Source organism: Homo sapiens, chromosome 12 (genome assembly GCF_000001405.40).
Source record: "Homo sapiens chromosome 12, GRCh38.p14 Primary Assembly".
Taxonomy (NCBI): Eukaryota; Metazoa; Chordata; class Mammalia; order Primates; family Hominidae; genus Homo; species Homo sapiens.
In genome coordinates, this window is record NC_000012.12 from 31,182,840 (window position 1) to 31,201,585 (window position 18,746).

At 36.0% G+C, this 18,746-nt stretch overlaps 1 pseudogene across 1 annotated transcript in view; it reads right to left on the reverse strand.

Annotated features, from left to right (window-relative positions):
- Nucleotides 1-18,396, reverse strand: part of OVOS2P (ovostatin 2, pseudogene) — an 89,584-nt pseudogene extending 71,188 nt beyond the window's left edge. The window contains exons 1-7 of the transcript NR_153414.1: nucleotides 18,213-18,396; nucleotides 17,584-17,740; nucleotides 12,682-12,702; nucleotides 11,938-12,106; nucleotides 11,173-11,257; nucleotides 5,730-5,847; nucleotides 2,747-2,861 (exon numbers count right to left, since the gene is read on the reverse strand). The product of NR_153414.1 is annotated as an ovostatin 2, pseudogene (transcript). The remainder of the gene's footprint in view (nucleotides 1-2,746; nucleotides 2,862-5,729; nucleotides 5,848-11,172; nucleotides 11,258-11,937; nucleotides 12,107-12,681; nucleotides 12,703-17,583; nucleotides 17,741-18,212) is intronic.
- Nucleotides 18,397-18,746: the final 350 nt, after the last annotated feature.

Below are 18,746 nucleotides of genomic sequence, written 5' to 3' on the forward strand. Positions count from 1 at the left end.
CAATAATTCTTTGTAAAATTATCTGTTTAATGTTTATTATCTCTATTACACTATAAACTCCATAAAAGCAGTGATAAAAGTGCCTCTCTACATCACCATTTTATTCCTAATACTGATATAGACTATATAATTTATTGTCCAAACTTGGACACTTTTAGAGTGAAGTGGTTGTAACTATTAACAGTTACAACTTGATAAAACATATACACCAGGACAGATCTATGAAAATCAACAGTGTAGGTCACCCTACAGTGCTTAGCACAGAGATTCCTACATAGTAATTTCTTAGGGAATAGCTGTTGGAAGATTAGTAGATAAATGAAAGAACAAATGAATGAATGAATAAGGTATGTAAAAAATGATTGCTTTCTAACCTGGCCAAAATAAGGGAGTCCCTGTTTGTAGGACATATCCATATTCTCAAAACTAATCTTCACCACTGATGAGTCTATGTATACGTACTTGGAGCCTGTAAGCTGCACACCTGCAGTCAATTAAGTATTATTGAGAAAATGTCACTTCCAAAAACAGACAAACAGAGCTTCTGAAAAAAACCACAAAAGCTCACCATTCCTTCTAATAGTTTCCCTTCCCTTTCCTAAGCAGTTTTAATATGTAGGTACTTCAGATGTCTTTTATAAAGAAAGTTAATCAAGATGGCACAAAATGCTTGTGCCAACTGGTGTTGCTGCTTTTTATAAAATATCCAATTCACTTACCATTTCTTCATGATGGATTAGTAAACGTTGATTTCTCATTATTCCTAAGTGATTGTTTAACAACATTTCTTTTACTCTCTGCTTGCCTAAAACATATGCTTTAATTTATTAATAGTAAGAATTGTAATATATGTGTATTATTAAAAATGGAAATGCTTAAAAAAGAAAATACAAATTACCAAATATCAGATATCTCCAAGAGAACCAAAATTAGCATTTTAGGCTTTTTCCCACAAGTTCTATTTCTCTTTATATTTATCATTTATATTAATATGTTTGAGATTGTGTGTGTATATGTGTACATGCACACATACACTCAATATGTGCAAATGTATATGTAGTTTTACATGTTTTTTATCATTATTTTATAAAGTTTTTGTAAAACCTTATAAAAACTTATTTTTAATTGCTACATTATTTCTCATATAAATATGGACATATGTTATCATGTAGCAAGCCCTTCCCTCCTTCCTTCCTGCCTTCCTTCCTTTCCTTCCTTCTCTTTCTTCCTTCCTTCCTTTCTTTCTTTTTCTTTCTTTCTCTCTCTTCCTTTCTTTCTCTCTCTTTCTCTCTCTCTCTCTTTCTCTCTCTCTTTCTTTTTCTTTTTTTTTTCTTGAGATAGGGTCTCATTCTGTTGCCCAGGCTGGAGTGCAGTGGTGCGATCATGGCTCACTGCAGCCCCAACCTCCTGGGCTCAAGTGATTCTCCCACCTTAGCCTCCTGAGTAGCTGGGATTACAGCTGCATGACACAACACCCAGCTAATTTTGTATTGTTTGTAGAGACGGGGTCTCACTATGTTGCCACCGAGGATGGTCTCAAACTCCTAGGCTCAAATAATTCTTCTGCCTCAGCCTCCCCAGGTGCTGGGGTTATAGGTGTGAGCCACTGTGCCTGGCTATTCTTTTATTATTTATTTAGTTCAGTATGACAAATATACCTAATTATCAATTAAATGTTTGTTTAATACTTGAATTTCCTCTGGATGTGACAGATACCTCTAAAACTTTGAAGACTGATATAAGTACATTAGTAATTTAATATTTCAGGAACAGAAATTTTGCTGAAATATCAGTTACATATGCGTAAGTTTAAAAGTACTACAGTAACACAAAGTGGTCAGCACAGAAAAAAGCATTTCAAGGATTAAGACTTACCATTTTGTGCTTTAGGAAGAAGGGGTATTAGGTCCAGGAGATACAAGAAATTAGTCATTAGAAATATTATTGGCCGGGCGAGGTGGCTCACGACTGTAATCCACGCACTTTGGGAGGCCGAGGCGGGAGGATCACCTGAGGTCAGGAGTTTGAGACTAGCCTGGACAACATGATGAAACCCCGTCTCTCTACTAAAAATGCAAAAACCTAGTCGGGCGTGATGGCGGGCGCCTGTAATCCCAGCTACTCGGGAGGCTGAGGCGGAAGAATCGCTTGAACCTGGCGGGCGGAGGTCGCAGTGAGCTAAGATTACGCCACCGCACTCTAGCCTGGGCAACAAGAGCGAAACTCCGAAAAAGAAAAAGAAGGAAGGGAGGAAGGGAGGGAGGGAGGGAGGGAGTGGGGAGGGAGACAGATTTTCCTGGATGAGATAAAGATTTTTCACTGGATTTATTTTCAGAGGCTTAGTAAAATATTCTCCCCAAACTATTTTACTTCCCATGTTCTAATTCTATGCTCACCAAAAAAATTTTATAATCGACAACTACATGTCTCAATTATATTTATCTGTGGAATGATTAAGGAAAAGGAATATGCTTATATCTAAAACCAGATACTCCCATTATAAATCAATAAATTGGCATTCTTACTTCTATTGTAGCCTTATTTGAATGTAACACTTGACCATCCATCAACATGTGTGTGAAAATTTTGGTTGATATATGAAACATTCAGAATTTGAATCAGATGAACCCAATGAAAAGCCCTCAGGGAAAAAATGATTGTATTGACATTGTATAGTTGGCAATCAGGTAACAATTCGAATGAGACAGTGATATCCATTGGGGTCTGGCTTCTTAGAGAGCATTACCTGTTCCGTCCTCTGTAACAAGAGCATGCACTTTGAGGAAACTCCAGTATCCTTCCCGATTTCACTCAAAAGCATCTGTGTTAATAAACTTGGAGACACAGCCATCTTTCCCCAACTGAAAAGAACAATAAAAAAAAGTTATATTGTAAAGGAAGACTGTAAGAAATAGCTATAATAGGGAAAATGTGTGACCTCACTGAAGCAACTTTAAGAATATTGTATTACCCAAGTTTTAGTTTTTTAAAATAATCCATTGTGTTTCTATAATTATATTTTCAGTTCATGTATTTACCTATAACTATTTATTTTTTAATAAATATTAACTCTTACAATATTGTGTTTTAAAAAACTCTTCATGGTGACATTATTTTGTTATTATACAAGATAATAAACACATCCATCACTAGTCACGTATTCACACATGATATTTGCAATTTTGGTAATTTCAGCCATATTCTTTTACAGTTTTGAAACTGAGTTTTATATTATTTAGTTACCATGCCTTGGACATTTATGGGACTATTTACACAGCAGTTAGGAACACAGGCTTTACAGTCAAACACCAGAATTTGAACCCTGGCTTTACCACTTATTACTTCATACAAAATGAAATCTTAATAAAGAGCTTGTAGAACTGTATTACATTAGACAATAACTGGAAAGTGTTTATTTAGCACAGGGCCTGGCACTTAGTAAACATTCAGTAGGTAGTAGATTTTTAAATTAGATTCCTTTACATTTCTCTCAGTGTCTAGTCAAGTGACAATGTCTCACTAAGTGAAATTTTTAAAGTGTCACAATTAGTAACCAAAATTAAACAGGATGAATTGTCAAATATTTTTAAAATGTGGGATAAATTGTGCTCATAGGTTCCTGGACTTTAATATTGGGGAAAAACTGATTTCTTATTCTACTCCTTCATCTTATGATGATATGAGGAAATCTAGTCCTCAAGATGTGGGTGAGATGTCAAAATCCTGTGCTACTTCAGGGGGTCCTTGAAACTATAAGAAGGTCTAGAACCATTTCCAGAAGCTTAAAGATCTAGAAAAATTTCCACTATACTAAAGGTGAATAATGAGATAAATTATTTAGTCCACACTCCTGCTTTACATGTGCATTTGATTATTTTAACTTTTATTTTAGGTTCAAGGGTGCCTGTGCAGGTTTGTTATATAGGTAAATTGTGTGTCATGGGGGTTTGGTGTACAGATTATTTCACTATCCAGGTAATAAGCATAGTATCCAATAGGTAGTTTTTTTGATCCTCACCCCTTCCCACCCTACATGTACATTTTAAATTTCCAGAGCTCTCAAATCTCCTGAAGGGCATCCTATAATATAGCCACCTTCGATAATGCATTCTGGGATCTACCTACCCTGTGCACTCGGCTTATATTGGTTTAGTCTCTTCTAGAGTGTGCATCTTTAAAGATTATGACTGCTTCATAAAGTGCAAAACCCATGAGGATAGTACCTGATCTGTCTTGCTCAACAATGAAGCTTCTAAATAAAATTATTCTTGCATATTAAAAGACCTCAATATTTATCTGTTGAATGAATTTGTGGAGAAAATTTTTGTATCCCTGATATCCCTAAAGATACAGCCCCACTAGTTATTTAAATATTTATATGACTTGGTTGGGGTGCAGTGGCTGACACCTGTAACCCCAGCACTTTGGGAGACCGAAGCGGGCAGATCACATGAGATCAGGAGTTCAAGACCAGGCTGGCCAACATGGTGAAACCCCGTCTCTATTAAAAATACAAAATTAGCTGGGCGTGGTGGTGCACGCCTGTAGTCCCAGCTTCTTGGGAGGTTGAGGCACGAGAATTGCTTGAACCCGGGAGGCAGAGGTTGCGGTAAGCCAATATCGCGCCACTGCACTCCAGCATGGGCGACACAGTGAGACTGTCTAAAAATATATATGTATTGACATGTATTTATGATCTAGTTTTGCTGCACCCATGATCTTGAGCAATGTATTTAACCTCTTTCTGCTTTAATCCACTCATCGGTAAGGGGGCGATAATAGTACCCCCTCATAGGGTACTATTTGTTTTGAGAATCAAATGCACATAAACTACTTAGCTCAGTGACTGACACAAAATAAGCATCCATTAAATGTTAGCAATTATTATTATTATAATTGTTACTATTGTTAGCGTTTATTGTCCACATTTTTTAAATTTAAGAATTAGAAGGTTCTTAATTATTTCCAACCTAAAGTATTCTCTAAACAGGACAGGAATATGTGACACTGTGTGTGTGCACCTGTGTGTGTGTGTGCACACATGTGTGTGGATAAATGGTATCACACTGTAGTATGGGGATTGCAGCTGGCAGTTGTATATTAGACAGTCAGATCTGGCATGATTATAGCTGAAAGCCTTGCTACATCCTAGACCAGCCTGTTTGTGTCCGTTTTCTGAATGTTGGTTCTCAAACCTTCCAAGTAGATCTTTTAGGAAATTCCTCCTTTGTCAGTTTGGAAAAGTTGATTCTTCTCTTTAGTGGTTAAGAACCTGACTGATAGGGTTCCCATCTGGAGCTCCTATATACACTTATTTCCAGTGAGAATAGGTTGAGAGGAAAATAATTATACATCTAATACTCTTGAATATGCAGAAACATCACATCTCCCTGACTAAATTCACAAAGTATAAAATAAAGAACAGGACATATGTTCCCAGTAAATTGATAGGGTGTAGATTTTGATATGAAACCAAATGTATTTTTAATTAAGAATCGAAATTTACTACTCAGTTTCTGATACTATAATTTGCTTTTTGTCAGTCAATAGAAAATGAAACTTAGCATGACAAAAGAGGAATATAAAATTTACAAATAGGAATAGAAATATAGAATAAAAGTATATATTTTAACTGTAAAGAGGAAAACAGGAAGAAAGGAAGGTAAATGGAAGGTGAGGATAAAAAGTTAATGGAAACCTATTTATAATTTTGCTGATATACCTCTTACCTGAATGGTAAAATTTTTACAGAGTGAACTGATAAGATGAGCACATGAATGATAAGCCGTAGATTCTCTGCACACACTAAGTTGGACCTTCCCGTCCACAGGTTCACCATAGGTATATCTAATAGAAGAATATAACAACAACACAATTACAGAGGTCAAGGTCGTTTTTAATCTGTATAGGGTTTTGAAACCTTTATTTAGTAGCTGAAACCAGCACTGTAACAACATTTAAATAGCTAGTTACCATAAATTTTATTTTCTGGAGGAAATCTAAAACAATGGTACGGACTAAAATTGAGCTGAATGCTTTAGGCAAAAATATATTTTAATTAAAAAGGTTGAAATAGGCATGTAGACGTTATATATCTAAGTCACTAAAATACAATGTAAACAAAAAAACAAAAAAATACATCAGTCATTATTTCATTAAAAATAATATTTTTTGCATACTGATAGCAATGGAGTATTGAAAAACAAAAAATGAAATAAAATAACATTTTGCTTCTTTTAGTTTTTTTGTTTTTAAACTGCTATTATGAGCATATTTTATGGTTTTTACTTTTAAAATGTAAATTATATTTATTTATTTATTTTTTATAAATGTCATTTTAAGTCATCAGATTTTGGGGTAATTTCTTTTTGTTTGTTTTGGAAAGAAGTAAAACTGTTCATTTTTTATTATTATATTTTAAGTTCTGGGATATATGTGCAGAAGGTGCAGGTTTGTTACATAGGTATACATGTGTTATGGTGGTTTGCTGCACCCATCAACCCATCATCTACATTAAGTATTTCTCTTAATGCTATCCCTCCCCTTGCCCCCAACCCCCGACAGGCCCCGGTGTGTGATGTTCCCCTCCCTGTGCCCATATGTTCTCATTGTTCAACTCCTACTTCTGAGTGAGAACATGTGGTGTTTGGTTTTCTGTTCCTGTGATAGTTTGCAGATAATGATGGTTTCCAGTTTCATCCATGTCCCTGCAAAGGACATGAACTCATTCTTTTTTATGGCTGCATAGTATTCCATGGTGTGTATGTGCCCCATTTTCTTTACCCAGTCTAACATTGATGGGCATTTGGATTGGTTCCAAGTCTTTGTTATTGTGAATAGTGCTGCAATAAACGTACGTGTGCAGGTGTCTTTATAGTAGAATGATTTATAATCCTTTGGGTATATACCCACTAATGCAATTGCTGGTCAAATGGTATTTCTGGTTCTAGATCTTTGAGGAATGGCCACTGTGTCTTCCACAGTGGTTGAACTAATTTACACTCCCAACAACAGTGTAAAAGCGTTCCTATTTCTCCACATCCTCTCCAGCATTTGTTGTTTACTGACTTTTTAATGATTGCCATTTTAACTGGCATGAGATGGTATCTCATTGTGGTTTTGATTTGGATTTCTCTAATGACCAGTGATGATGAGCTTTTTTTCATATGTTTGTTGGCTGCATAAATGTCTTCTTTTAAGCAGTGTCTGTTCATATCCTTCACCCACTTTTTGATGGGGTTGTTTGCTTTTTCTTGTAAATTTATTTAAGTTCCTTATAGATTCTGGATATTAGCCCTTTCTCAGATGGATAGATTGCAAAATTTTTCTCCCATTCTGTATGTTGCCTGTTCACTCTGATTATAGTTTCTTTTGCTATGCAGAAGCTCTTTAGTTTAATTAGATCCCATTTGTCAATATTGGCTTTTGGTGCAATTGCTTTTGGCGTTTTAGTCATAAAGTATTTGCCCATGCCTATGTCCTAAATGGTATTGCCTAGGTTTTGTTCCAGGGTTTTTATGGTTTTAGGTCTAACATTTAAATCTTTAATCCATCTTGAGTTAATTTTTGTATAAGGTGTAAGGAAGGGGTCCAGTTTCAGTTTTCTGCATATGGCTAGCCAGTTTTCCCAACACCGTTTATTAAATAGGGAATCCTTTCCCCATTGCTTGTTTTCATCAGGTTTGTCATAGGTCAAATGGTTGTAGATGTGTGGTGCTATTTCTGAGGCCACTGCTCTGTTCCATTGGTCTATATATCTGTTTTTGTACCAGTACCATGCTGTTTTGGTTACCATAGCCTTGTGGTATAGTTTGAAGTCAGGAATCCAACTTCCAAGGGATGTGAAGGACCTCTTCAAGGAGAACTACAAACCACTGCTCAAGGAAATAAGAGAGGACACAAACAAATGGAAAGACAATCCATGCTCATGGATAGGAAGAATCAACATCGTGAAAGTGGCCATGCTGCCCAAAGTAACTTATAGATACAATGCTATTCCCATCAAACTAACATTGACTTTCTTCACAGAATTGGAAAAAGCTACTTTAAAGTTCATATGGAACCAAAAAAAAGCCCGCATTGCCAAGACAATCCTAAGCCAAAAGAACAAAGCTGGAGGCATCACTCTACCTGATTCAAACTATACTACAAGGCTACAGTAACCAAAACAGCATGGTACTGGTACCAAAACAGAGATATAGACCAATGGAACAGAACAGAGCCCTCAGAAATAATACCACACATCTACAACCATCTGACCTTTGACAAACCTGACAAAAACAAGAAATGCGGAAAGGATTCCCTATTTAATAAATGGTGCTGGGAAAACTGGCTAGCCATATGTAGAAAGCTGAAACTGGATCCCTTCCTTACACCTTATACAAAAATTAATTCAAGACAGATTATTAAAGACTTAAATGTTAGACCTAAAGCCATAAAAACCCTAGAAGAAAACCTAGGCAATACCATTCAGGACATAGGCATAGGCAAGGACTTCATGTCTAAAACACCAAAAGCAATGGCAACACAAGCCAAAATTGACAAATGGGATCTAATTAAACTAAAGAGCTTCTGCACAGCAAAAGAAACTACCATCAGAGTGAACAGGCAACTGACAGAATGGGAGAAAATGTTTACAATCTACCCATCTGACAAAGGGCTAATATCCAGAATCTACAAAGAACTTAAACAAATTTACAAGAAAAAATCAAACAACCCCATCAGAAAGTGGGCGAAGGATATGAACAGACACTTCTCAAAAGAAAACATTTAAGCAGCCAACAGACACATGAAACAATGCTCATCATCACTGGCCATTAGAGAAATGAAAATCAAAACCACAGTGAGATACCATCTCACACCAGTTAGAATGGCAATCATTAAAAAGTCAGGAAACAACAGGTGCTGGAGAGGATGTGGAGAAACAGGAACATTTTTACACTGTTGGTGGGACTGTAAATTAGTTCAACCATTGTGGAAGACAGTGTGGTGACTCCTCAAGGATCTAGAACTAGAAATACCATTTGACCCAGCTATCTCATTACTGGGTATATACCCAAAGGATTATAAATCATGCTGCTATAAAGACACATGCACACTTATGTTTATTGCGGCACTATTCACAATAGCAAAGACTTGGAACCAACCCAAATGTCCATCAATGATAGATGGACATATACACCATGGAATACTATGCAGCCATGAAAATGGATGAGTTCATGTCCTTTGTAGGGACATGGATGAAGCTGGATACCAACATTCTGAGCAAACTATCGCAAGGACAGAAAACCGAACACCGCATGTTCTCACTCATAGGTGGGAACTGAACAATGAGAACACTTGGACACCGGGTGGGGAACATCCCACACTGGGGCCTGTCGTGGGGTGGGGGCAGTGGGGAGGGATAGCATTAGGAGATATACCTAATGTAAATGACAAGTTAATGGGTGCAGCACAGCAACGTGGCACATGTATACATTTGTAACAAACCTGCATGTTGTGCACATGTACCCTAGAACTTAAAGTATAATTTAAAAAATTTTAAATAGGTAGAAAGAGCAAAGAACAAAATTGCTTGTAAGGAATAACAGTAGATTCCTCTGGGCTACGTTTTATGACAATTTCTCAATTTCATCTTCCAAATTACTAATTCTCTCTTAAGCATCATCGATCCTTCTAGTCAGCCTTTCTACACATATATTTTTAAATTAATAATATGCCTACTTCCAAGGTCTTTAATTATTTTTAAAGTTACACTATTGACTCATATCTGAGTATACACATTTTACTTATTTCTAAATTTTTTTCTGATTGATGTTCAACAGTTTTCTCAGGTATATATTGCTCTTTTTTTTGTTTATATAATACCTTGATTTCAAGTCATTAGAATCTTCAACCATTTAGTGATTCATGCTTATGTTTTGGGATTCCCAGCTGGCTTGTCCTAGAGTGCTTTATTTTGCTTATGCAATACTTCTCCAGTAAAAATGACACAGGAGCCAACACACAGCCACTGTGATAGGGAAGTACCTAGACATTTGGGCTTTGGGGATTTCTGTTACTCAGGGGATTTTCCAGCAATGCTGGCAATTCCCTGCCTTTATGACCCAACTACAATGAGACTTTTCAGTCTCTGCCTTTTCTGTATTCTTCCAACTCTGGAGGTGAAGCACAAGGTAGTGACATCAAAAAGTTAGCCATGCTTCTTCTTGACTCTTAAAGACTTCCAGCCTAAAGTAGACACAGGAAGGAGGACAGGCAAAGCTTTCACCTTAAAGTTTGGCATGGAATTTTAGATTACTGTAGTGAAGCTCTCCTAATAACTAGAAATTTCCAGGTCACTTTTTTATTTTTAATTATGCAAAATTAAAAGGAAAAGTAGTACACATGAGTCAGGGAAAAGTAGTACACATCAGGTCTGAGGAGACAAAGTTTTAATGTTTGCACCCTGGCTCTCTTTGCTGGTTATATAAACTCTGTGAATGTTGCTTAACTTAGTGACAAGAGGGGAAAACAACCTGACCTGCTTCACTGCTACTCCTGCCACACGTTAATCCTCACTATTTGCCCCTAAGTCCCTGTCTGCCCTTAGTATCCTCCACACTGTGCCCCGCCATTACCCTAGAGCCACTTGTAACTCTTACAGCAGTTTTCTCTGTGATACATCTTGAGCTTCAGTTTTCTTTTATAATCATGTAATACATAAAGATTGAATTGAGAAATCATCATAAACAGAAGATATTGTCCAATGGAAATTTCTGGGAGATGGAATGTTCTATGTTTTATGTCTATGCTCTCCAATTCAGTGGCCACTAGTCACATGTGACAGCTTGAAATGTGGCTAACGCAACTGAATATTTAGTTTTAATTAAAACTTAAATAACCACATGTGGTCACGGCTACTGTATTGGCTGGTGCAAAACAATATGTTATCTTATGATGTAAGAAAGACAGTAGTCAGTTGTCTTAAACTGTTACATAAAACCACGTGTCATAACATGCATTAAAAGAATTATAGATGCATGGAAGAATTCATAAAATCAGCAAAATAATTTAACACCTTCTTTTTCCCTTACCTTCTACACATTTATATTTTACTTCTTTTTAGCCATCTATCCCATTCTAATATCTTTCTATGAATACATTATTCTATTGTGTACAATTTCAACTTACAAGGCACAGACATTCACTTTGAATTCAGAGTCCACAACTAAGATATTTTCTGGTGCATCCACAGTCATTTGAAATTTGGGTAACACTGCCAGTAAAAAAAATATATATATATTATATTATAATGTGTATATTATATATTATTAACATAAATACATATTAACATAAATACATTCATACAAAACAATTGTTTCTCCTTTACAAACCATCAACCTTTGCTTATGTTTGCCATTAATAAACAGTGTGAGGAGGACGTTGAAGTGCCTAAGACTGGATTTTGGAATTGGATAGAAAAATGCATATTTTGAATTCCAAATTCATCACTTCTCAGGTGTTGAACTTGGGAAAGTGTTTCTCAATATCTTCATCTTTAAAATAGTAATAAAGATACTACAATAGAAATTTTATGAAGATTTTAGGAGAAAATATGAAGGGACTAATGGCTAACATATGACTAATGTTAATTCCATTCTTCTCATAAGAAGTGCTTTACATCCCAGAAACTATCATATAAAATAGAATCCAGATACTACAAAAGGAAGATAGATAGCCTAGGTTAACAGAGAATTGCAGGAAGATTATGGGCTGAACTAGGAGATAAAAATCACAGTAGATGGAGAACCCTAAAATAGTAACAGAGGACAAGGAAAGAGGAAAGGAAGAGATACTCACTTGAAAATTCATTATTTAATAATCCTGCCCTTGCAAAATTGGAAAGATTTTATAATTTTTTTATTAATAGGTAATATTTTCATTGCTATTATTTACCATATTCTTCCACAGAGAAGGAGTGATATGTTTTCTTCTCATTGAGCATCTCCACGGTGATTTCATACCATCCGAGGATGGGCTCTGAGATTAACTGGAAGGAGAGTTGTAGAATCCCTCCCACAGACTCCTCATTCACCCACTGTTGTATTCGATTGCCTTCTGGATCCTGAGAATAAGAAAGTGTATTTTTGCATGCTGGATGTTTTTATTCATTATAAAGTTTCAGCAAGGTGTTTCCTACTTAGGTTTCCAACTGACTTAGGATTCAAAACATGAGTGTGTCCTCACATCACCCAAGGAGAATTGGTTACTCTCCTATCTGAGGTCACATAGATGCATATTACAGTACTTAGTATATTTTAGAGCTAGCTGTGATTTTTTTACATTTATTTTCTGTGTCAATCTCTGATTTCTTAAAGGCGAGCCATATTTTATCCCCAGTGCATAAAACATTAAGTGTACATTTATATACATTCAACAACTAAACATTAAATTAAATACAATCATACTTGCCCGTTGTCTATATTATTATTGTCTGTATTAATGGGTGCATGCTAATATGAATCACATGGTGGTGGGGGTGGAAACCTATTTCTGTCCTCTTGAGGCTGTCTACATGAAATTAATAATTCTGCGACAATTTAAATAGACAATCTTCCCTGTGAGCTGCCTTTTGATTTTGAGGTTTAGAGAGATGTTCAAAAAATGAGAAAACAATTCTTCAACTATTAGTTATCTTACCTGAAGGGTGATCACTGGATACTGAAATAAAAATAAAAATAATGTTAATATATGAACTCAAGGTTTTTTTTTCTAGATGAGTGAAGAGGTTAATTATAAATCTATTATTAAGCAAAGAAACATAAACACATTTAGGACAACCCAAACAAATACTGATTTCTGACTGAAAGTTTGAATATCTATTGATTATATTGAAACTCATCTGCCTAGTTTTCAAGAATTTTCATTTACTTCTCTCTCTTTCACAACATACACCCTGCAGTCTCAGTAAGCAACCCTGCCCTTGGGTCTCTCCAACATAATAAAAATGCCCTCTTAGATGAATCATAACTTCCTTATCAACAAATTCGTGGTCAGTCTTCACTCTGACAGTTGCAATGTTTTACACTGCTGGTTGCCTCTTTTTGAAATGCTTCAATTTTGATTTCTGTATCTAGCACTAATTTTTTTTGTCTTAGATTATTGGCCATTCCTATACTCCACCATTTCCTTATCAGACAAGTAAATAAACGTAGACATTTGCCCAAGTTTCCCTTGCAGAGTTTCCTCTCCTTCTTCCTTCTCCTTCCACCTCTCTGTATCTCCTCTCAGTTCTCTCCATGTTTACCACTCTTGCCCCCTCTAAACCTATAGTCAACAGTTTGACTTTCATCTCTTAGTGTTTTCTCTCAGGACCTTAAAACTAACAAGTTGAAATTAAAGACTCCTAGGCCAGAAGCCCTCATGTGAATAGGCTGATGAGAATTTTAAAAATGAGTACATAGGGTCCTTTGCCCACTCCCCAAGTTGCTAAGTGCTCCTTCCCACTAATTGCAGCATTCATTCACTAATAAAACGTAATGTGTCTGGAGATAAGAACAGGATTCATAAACCTTGTCCAGAATTCTTGGAACTGAGAAATATAACAGTTGAATTAAGGGCCTACTTGTTATTCTAAATTCATGGAATTGAATCTTGATGAAATATTGAGATGGTATTGAAGAAAGCTACTGCTGCAACATTAACTCAAGCATTAAGAGAGGTAGAGCTTCTCATGAGATTTCCTCATAGGAAGAAAATGAAGAATATATTACCCAAAGGTGCCATGGGAAGACGTTAACCATTTGGATGAGATTCTAATAATGAGAAATGAACCTAGAGTACTATCCCTTTTTGTTTGCTATTTGTAATACTTCCAATGCAGATGGCTTCAACTGTGTTCAACAAATTTAGTTTTTATTACTTAATTTGTCTTTTTTTTTTAGATTTTTTTTTAAACTCAGCTTGGTCTATTTCAAAAAACTAGTGAACAAGAACCTAGTAAAATCACATTTTCATTGTTCTAAGCTGCTTGATTTTTCTCTAAAAACAATTATTAAAATGAGGCTGATTCTGCTGTAGTCACTAATGACTGTCTGCACTAAATCTTGTATAAACCAGCCAAGAACCAATACAACAACTCCTTCATGTCCCCTTCTGGTTCATACTATCTCTCCCTGTCCATACACAGGGCCTCTTTTTAGAGGACTAGTAGTTCCAGGTCTTAAGATAAGTTTAAAGAAAGATCTGAAACTTCTTGATGCAAATGAAACTTTCTGGAAAAAGTATGTTTGAATATTCTACAAAACACTGACTTAAAGGAAAAGAAAGGCACCATCAGCAATGAAATTGCAGAAAATGAAAGAAAAGACCGATGTAAGATTTGGGCAGAAGAAACTAGGTATATGCTCTATATCTTGGCTCATTTGATAATGAGCCCAGTTGCATCATTACTATATTTTTATTATGTAGTCAAATTTATTATGAATGCCCAAATCTCATAGGCCAGCCATGCATTGAATCTATTTATCTAAATGGAATACTGAACCAGATAATGTCCAGCAATTAGAAACACTGGCTTGCAAAGATAAAACCACATAATCTCTTAGCTGCCATCATTTTTGGAAATGCTACATCAATTTCCATCTCTATACATAAGCACATGCAGTTTGTTGTGCCATGGAAACTCCTTGCCATAAACATTTGGTACAAATGATCTTCTTATCTATGACCCATATTTGAGGGAACAGTCCATTAATCCTGTTCTTATGCAAATGTAGTTATTACTAAAGCAGGGAGTTGGATAATCATATTTGGCCTAATTGACAATAATAAGTCAACATTGGGGGGTGAGAACTAATAAGGGAGTTATGATAATGCTGCAGCTGCTTTGATTTTCAAGAAGACCTTTACTTCCCCATGGTGCTTCCAATCAAGGATGATTGTCAAAGGATTGCAGTAGAAATTCTCACTGCCTTGGTTAAATAGAGGAGTTGCATTCTTAGAAATAGAAGCTTCAACCATGAACCAAGGAGAACAGGAACCACATGCTATCTTACGGAAGTGATTTCGGATTTAGATTACTACAAGGTCTTTGGAGCACTAAAAATTAGATTCCTGCTCTGGAAATTAAAATTAAGCAACAGTCTAGTGAATGTAGCATAACTATAGAAGATGGGGAAAGGAGGTGGATTAAAAGTGACGATGTCTTAAGGATGAAGTACAATTTGGAGGGAGGAAAAGGCACTAACAGAGAAACCATCTGCACAGCTTCTGTAAGCTTCAGAAGCTTCTTCGTAACTGCGCTCAGTTGATAGATTGATCTGAGAGACCACAAAAGAATGCTTAGTTCTAACAGGTTTCTAAACTACATGAAATGAAATTTGTCAGGTATCCTGTTGTAAAGACTGAAGTCCAGGTCATAATTCGTTGTCTTTTGACAGTTTTCACTGTTGATCGCCTTGGTTCTCAGATTGTCGCTAGCTAGATTGTAGTCTTCTGCTGAAATACTGTCTTAGACTACCATCACCATATTAGTCTGGTCTCACTTTCTATTTTATCTGTTTACTATGCTTTTTCATATTTTGTTCATGCCACTATATAGTAGTTAATATATTGCATTATAAATATGAAGCAACAATAAACTGTGCAATGAGGTTTTAGCAATCATAGTTAATATCACACCATATTTTTATTCAAAAAGAAGCATGATGCTGGGTAGATTATGAATATTTGTAGCATTATAATCTCAGATTGTAATGATCAATTTTTTGAAAACTGAATATCTCTCAATTGTGTAAGACTCCTGGCTCAATTTCTTTGCTATGTTATAACCTTTCCTCTGTGCATTAGACTCTTTACTAGACTGTGGATGGATAAGAAATTTTAAAAAAGCAATTTTAAATTAAGGTTTAATGTTTCTGTGCTCTTTGAAGTAGCAGCCACCTTCCCCACCTCTGCCTTCTATAGCTCTCCTTAGCAAGAATCCTAGAAGCCTTCCTTGGACATCCTCTTGTGTCAAGCACATATACTCTTCCCCCTCATAAGCACCTCCCACGCCAGCATGCATGCTCTCGTAATGTTTGTTCCACCGTTGTTGGTGCCAGCCCAAACTGTACAGCCATGCCCTGTCTTTCTTGTCTAGTCCTTCTTTCTCTGGTGCCTAAATACTGACCTGAATGCCCTCTTTTGTGAAGTGAGGGAGGGAGGCAAAGGGTCAGGGGAAGAGGAGTGGAAGGCTGGGGATAGCACAATGCATGCAGTGCATTCCTCCATCTCCAGCACATATCCCTCACCTCCCTCTGCTTGTGTTGTTCTGGGATCACAGTGTGTTGGTGCCTAAGCAGGCTCTGATTACTGTGATTCCCAGTTCATCCACGACTGCCTCCTCAAGCCATGATCCCCACATCTGTAGTGACTCCTCATGGGTGTTACTTAACTACATGAAAATGCCTCTTTAGTTCTATATTCAGGGATTTCCTTTAACTCTTCTATTCACTGCAGCTTCTTTTCCTTCCTTTTTTTTTCTTTTATTATATCACATTTTATTTTATTTTTAATTATTATACTTTAAGTTCTAGGGTACTTGTGCACAACGTGCAGGTTTGTTACATATGTATACATGTGCCATGTTTCTGTGCTGCACCCATTAACTCGTCATTTACATTAGGTATTTCTCCTAGTGCTATCCCTCCCCCTCTCCCCACTGCACGACAGGCCTTGTTGTGTGATGTTCCCCACCCTGTGTCCAAGTGTTCTCATTGTTCAATTCCCACCTATAAGTGAGAACATGTGGTGTTTGGTTTTCTGTCCTTGCAATAGTTTTCTCAGAATGACGGTTTCCAGCTTCATCCATGTCCCTGCAAAGGACATGAATTCATCCTTTTTTATGGCTGCATAGTATTCCATGGTGTATATGTGCCACATTTTCTTCATTCGATCTATCATTGATGGACATTTGGGTTTCTTTACTCCAAATAAGTCTATCTACTTCTCATTTTACGGCATGGTTTTTAAATTAATTCTACCTCAGTGCTTTTTTATGTACCATTCATCTCATCAGAAATGTCTATCTTCTGACTGCTGTAATCTGTATTCATCAACTCCTTCTGTACCCAGGAGGAGAGAGGAGGCTTTTCAGCTTAATTCAACATCATGCTGATCATTCTATTACTTGGGCAATTCTCTAGTCACTAGGGGTATCTCATTACATGTTCATGACATACTTTGTTGCTCTTTTGTTTCTATTTCAACCATAAGCTTGTAAGTTTGTGTAAATTAAATTCAAAATCCCCAAATATGTGATTAGAATGTTATTAGAATAATACGGATATTATTAGAATATTATTAGAATAATATGGATATTATTAGAATAGAATAAGGTGCTCTTTAAAAATACACTTTCTGAGGCTCCCCACCCCAGACTCATGGAAATGAAATCTCTAACATTTAGGCTATGTAATCTATATTTTTATTTTGTATTTTTAAGCAGGTTCTCTAATAAACTTTAATACAATAAAATTTCTGAGCTTGTATTGTGTACCATCAATTCAAATATCATATAAGTGACATTAGTTGAGGGTAACCTGATTTAGGTACACTCACCTTTCTGTCCAGGCTTGTAGGTGGGTTTATCAGTCTGTACAAAGACCACATTCTCTCTGGATCTGATTGCCACAGATCTCCTCTCTTCCAGGTTGAGAGTGGCTCCTTTAGCAGAAAATGTAATAAATGCCAGTGGGTCAGATCTGGCCTGAGGAACCTAGGGAACAAATAAATACTCCATGAAACTGATTTTTTGTTAAGAAATCTCTATCACTGTGTGTTGGTATCACTAAAAGTTTTAATTCATAATTTGTCATATCTATTTCTTCAATAACCAACCTTGTTTATTTCTCTTGCTTTGTCACTTCCTTATCTCACCATTTAAATGGATTCTTTTGCCTTTCTTAAAACTTCCCTTTTCTGCACAAGAGTCATTCTTTCTATATGTCTTATTCCCTTCAACAATTTTCTATCATAAAATCAAATGTTTTGGCTCTTGCCCTTGTTACCATTTATGACTGTACTTAACATCATCTCATACTGAGGACTATATTATTCTTTTAAAAATTAAAATAACTTTACACATACAGTCAAATAGCCTGATCTCTGTCCCTAAAAAATCAGTTATGTGGGTGGTGTTCATGCACCTGTAATATTCTTTTCTATATTAAGCAGAAAGAAGTATTTACCTCAAAGCTGATGCATTTGAAGAAATTTTCTCCAGTAACATTTTCTTCAAATATTTTGGTCTGGACCTCACCATAGTTGAGGGAGACCGTCAAAACAACAGATTCAGTGAGATTAAAAAGCTGGGCACAAGCTTTATCCAAAGAGCCTTCTTGTAGAACAGAAGGAATCAGCAGAACATACTGCCTACAAAATTCAAGCAAGACCATTACAATTGAATGTGTGATTAGTTACTTAGCAATTATTGTGTTAATTGAAGAATTTTTGAGTTTAAGAGAAGTATGTTATTTTTAAATGTTAGAAATACATCAAATGGCTAAATCTGTATGAAACAGAAAGATGTTGGCATATGAATTAAATTTTTAAAAGTCAAAAAGGAAATCCCAATTAAAAATCAGCAGGTAATTTGTCATTAGTTCTATAAAGGTTAACATCATCAGTGTTCTTGTACAATGCTTTTGCCCCCAAACTGACACAGCACATTCTGTTTTATATTTGCCTACTGTTTGTCCAGTTCCTTCCCCAGCAGCTGTCAG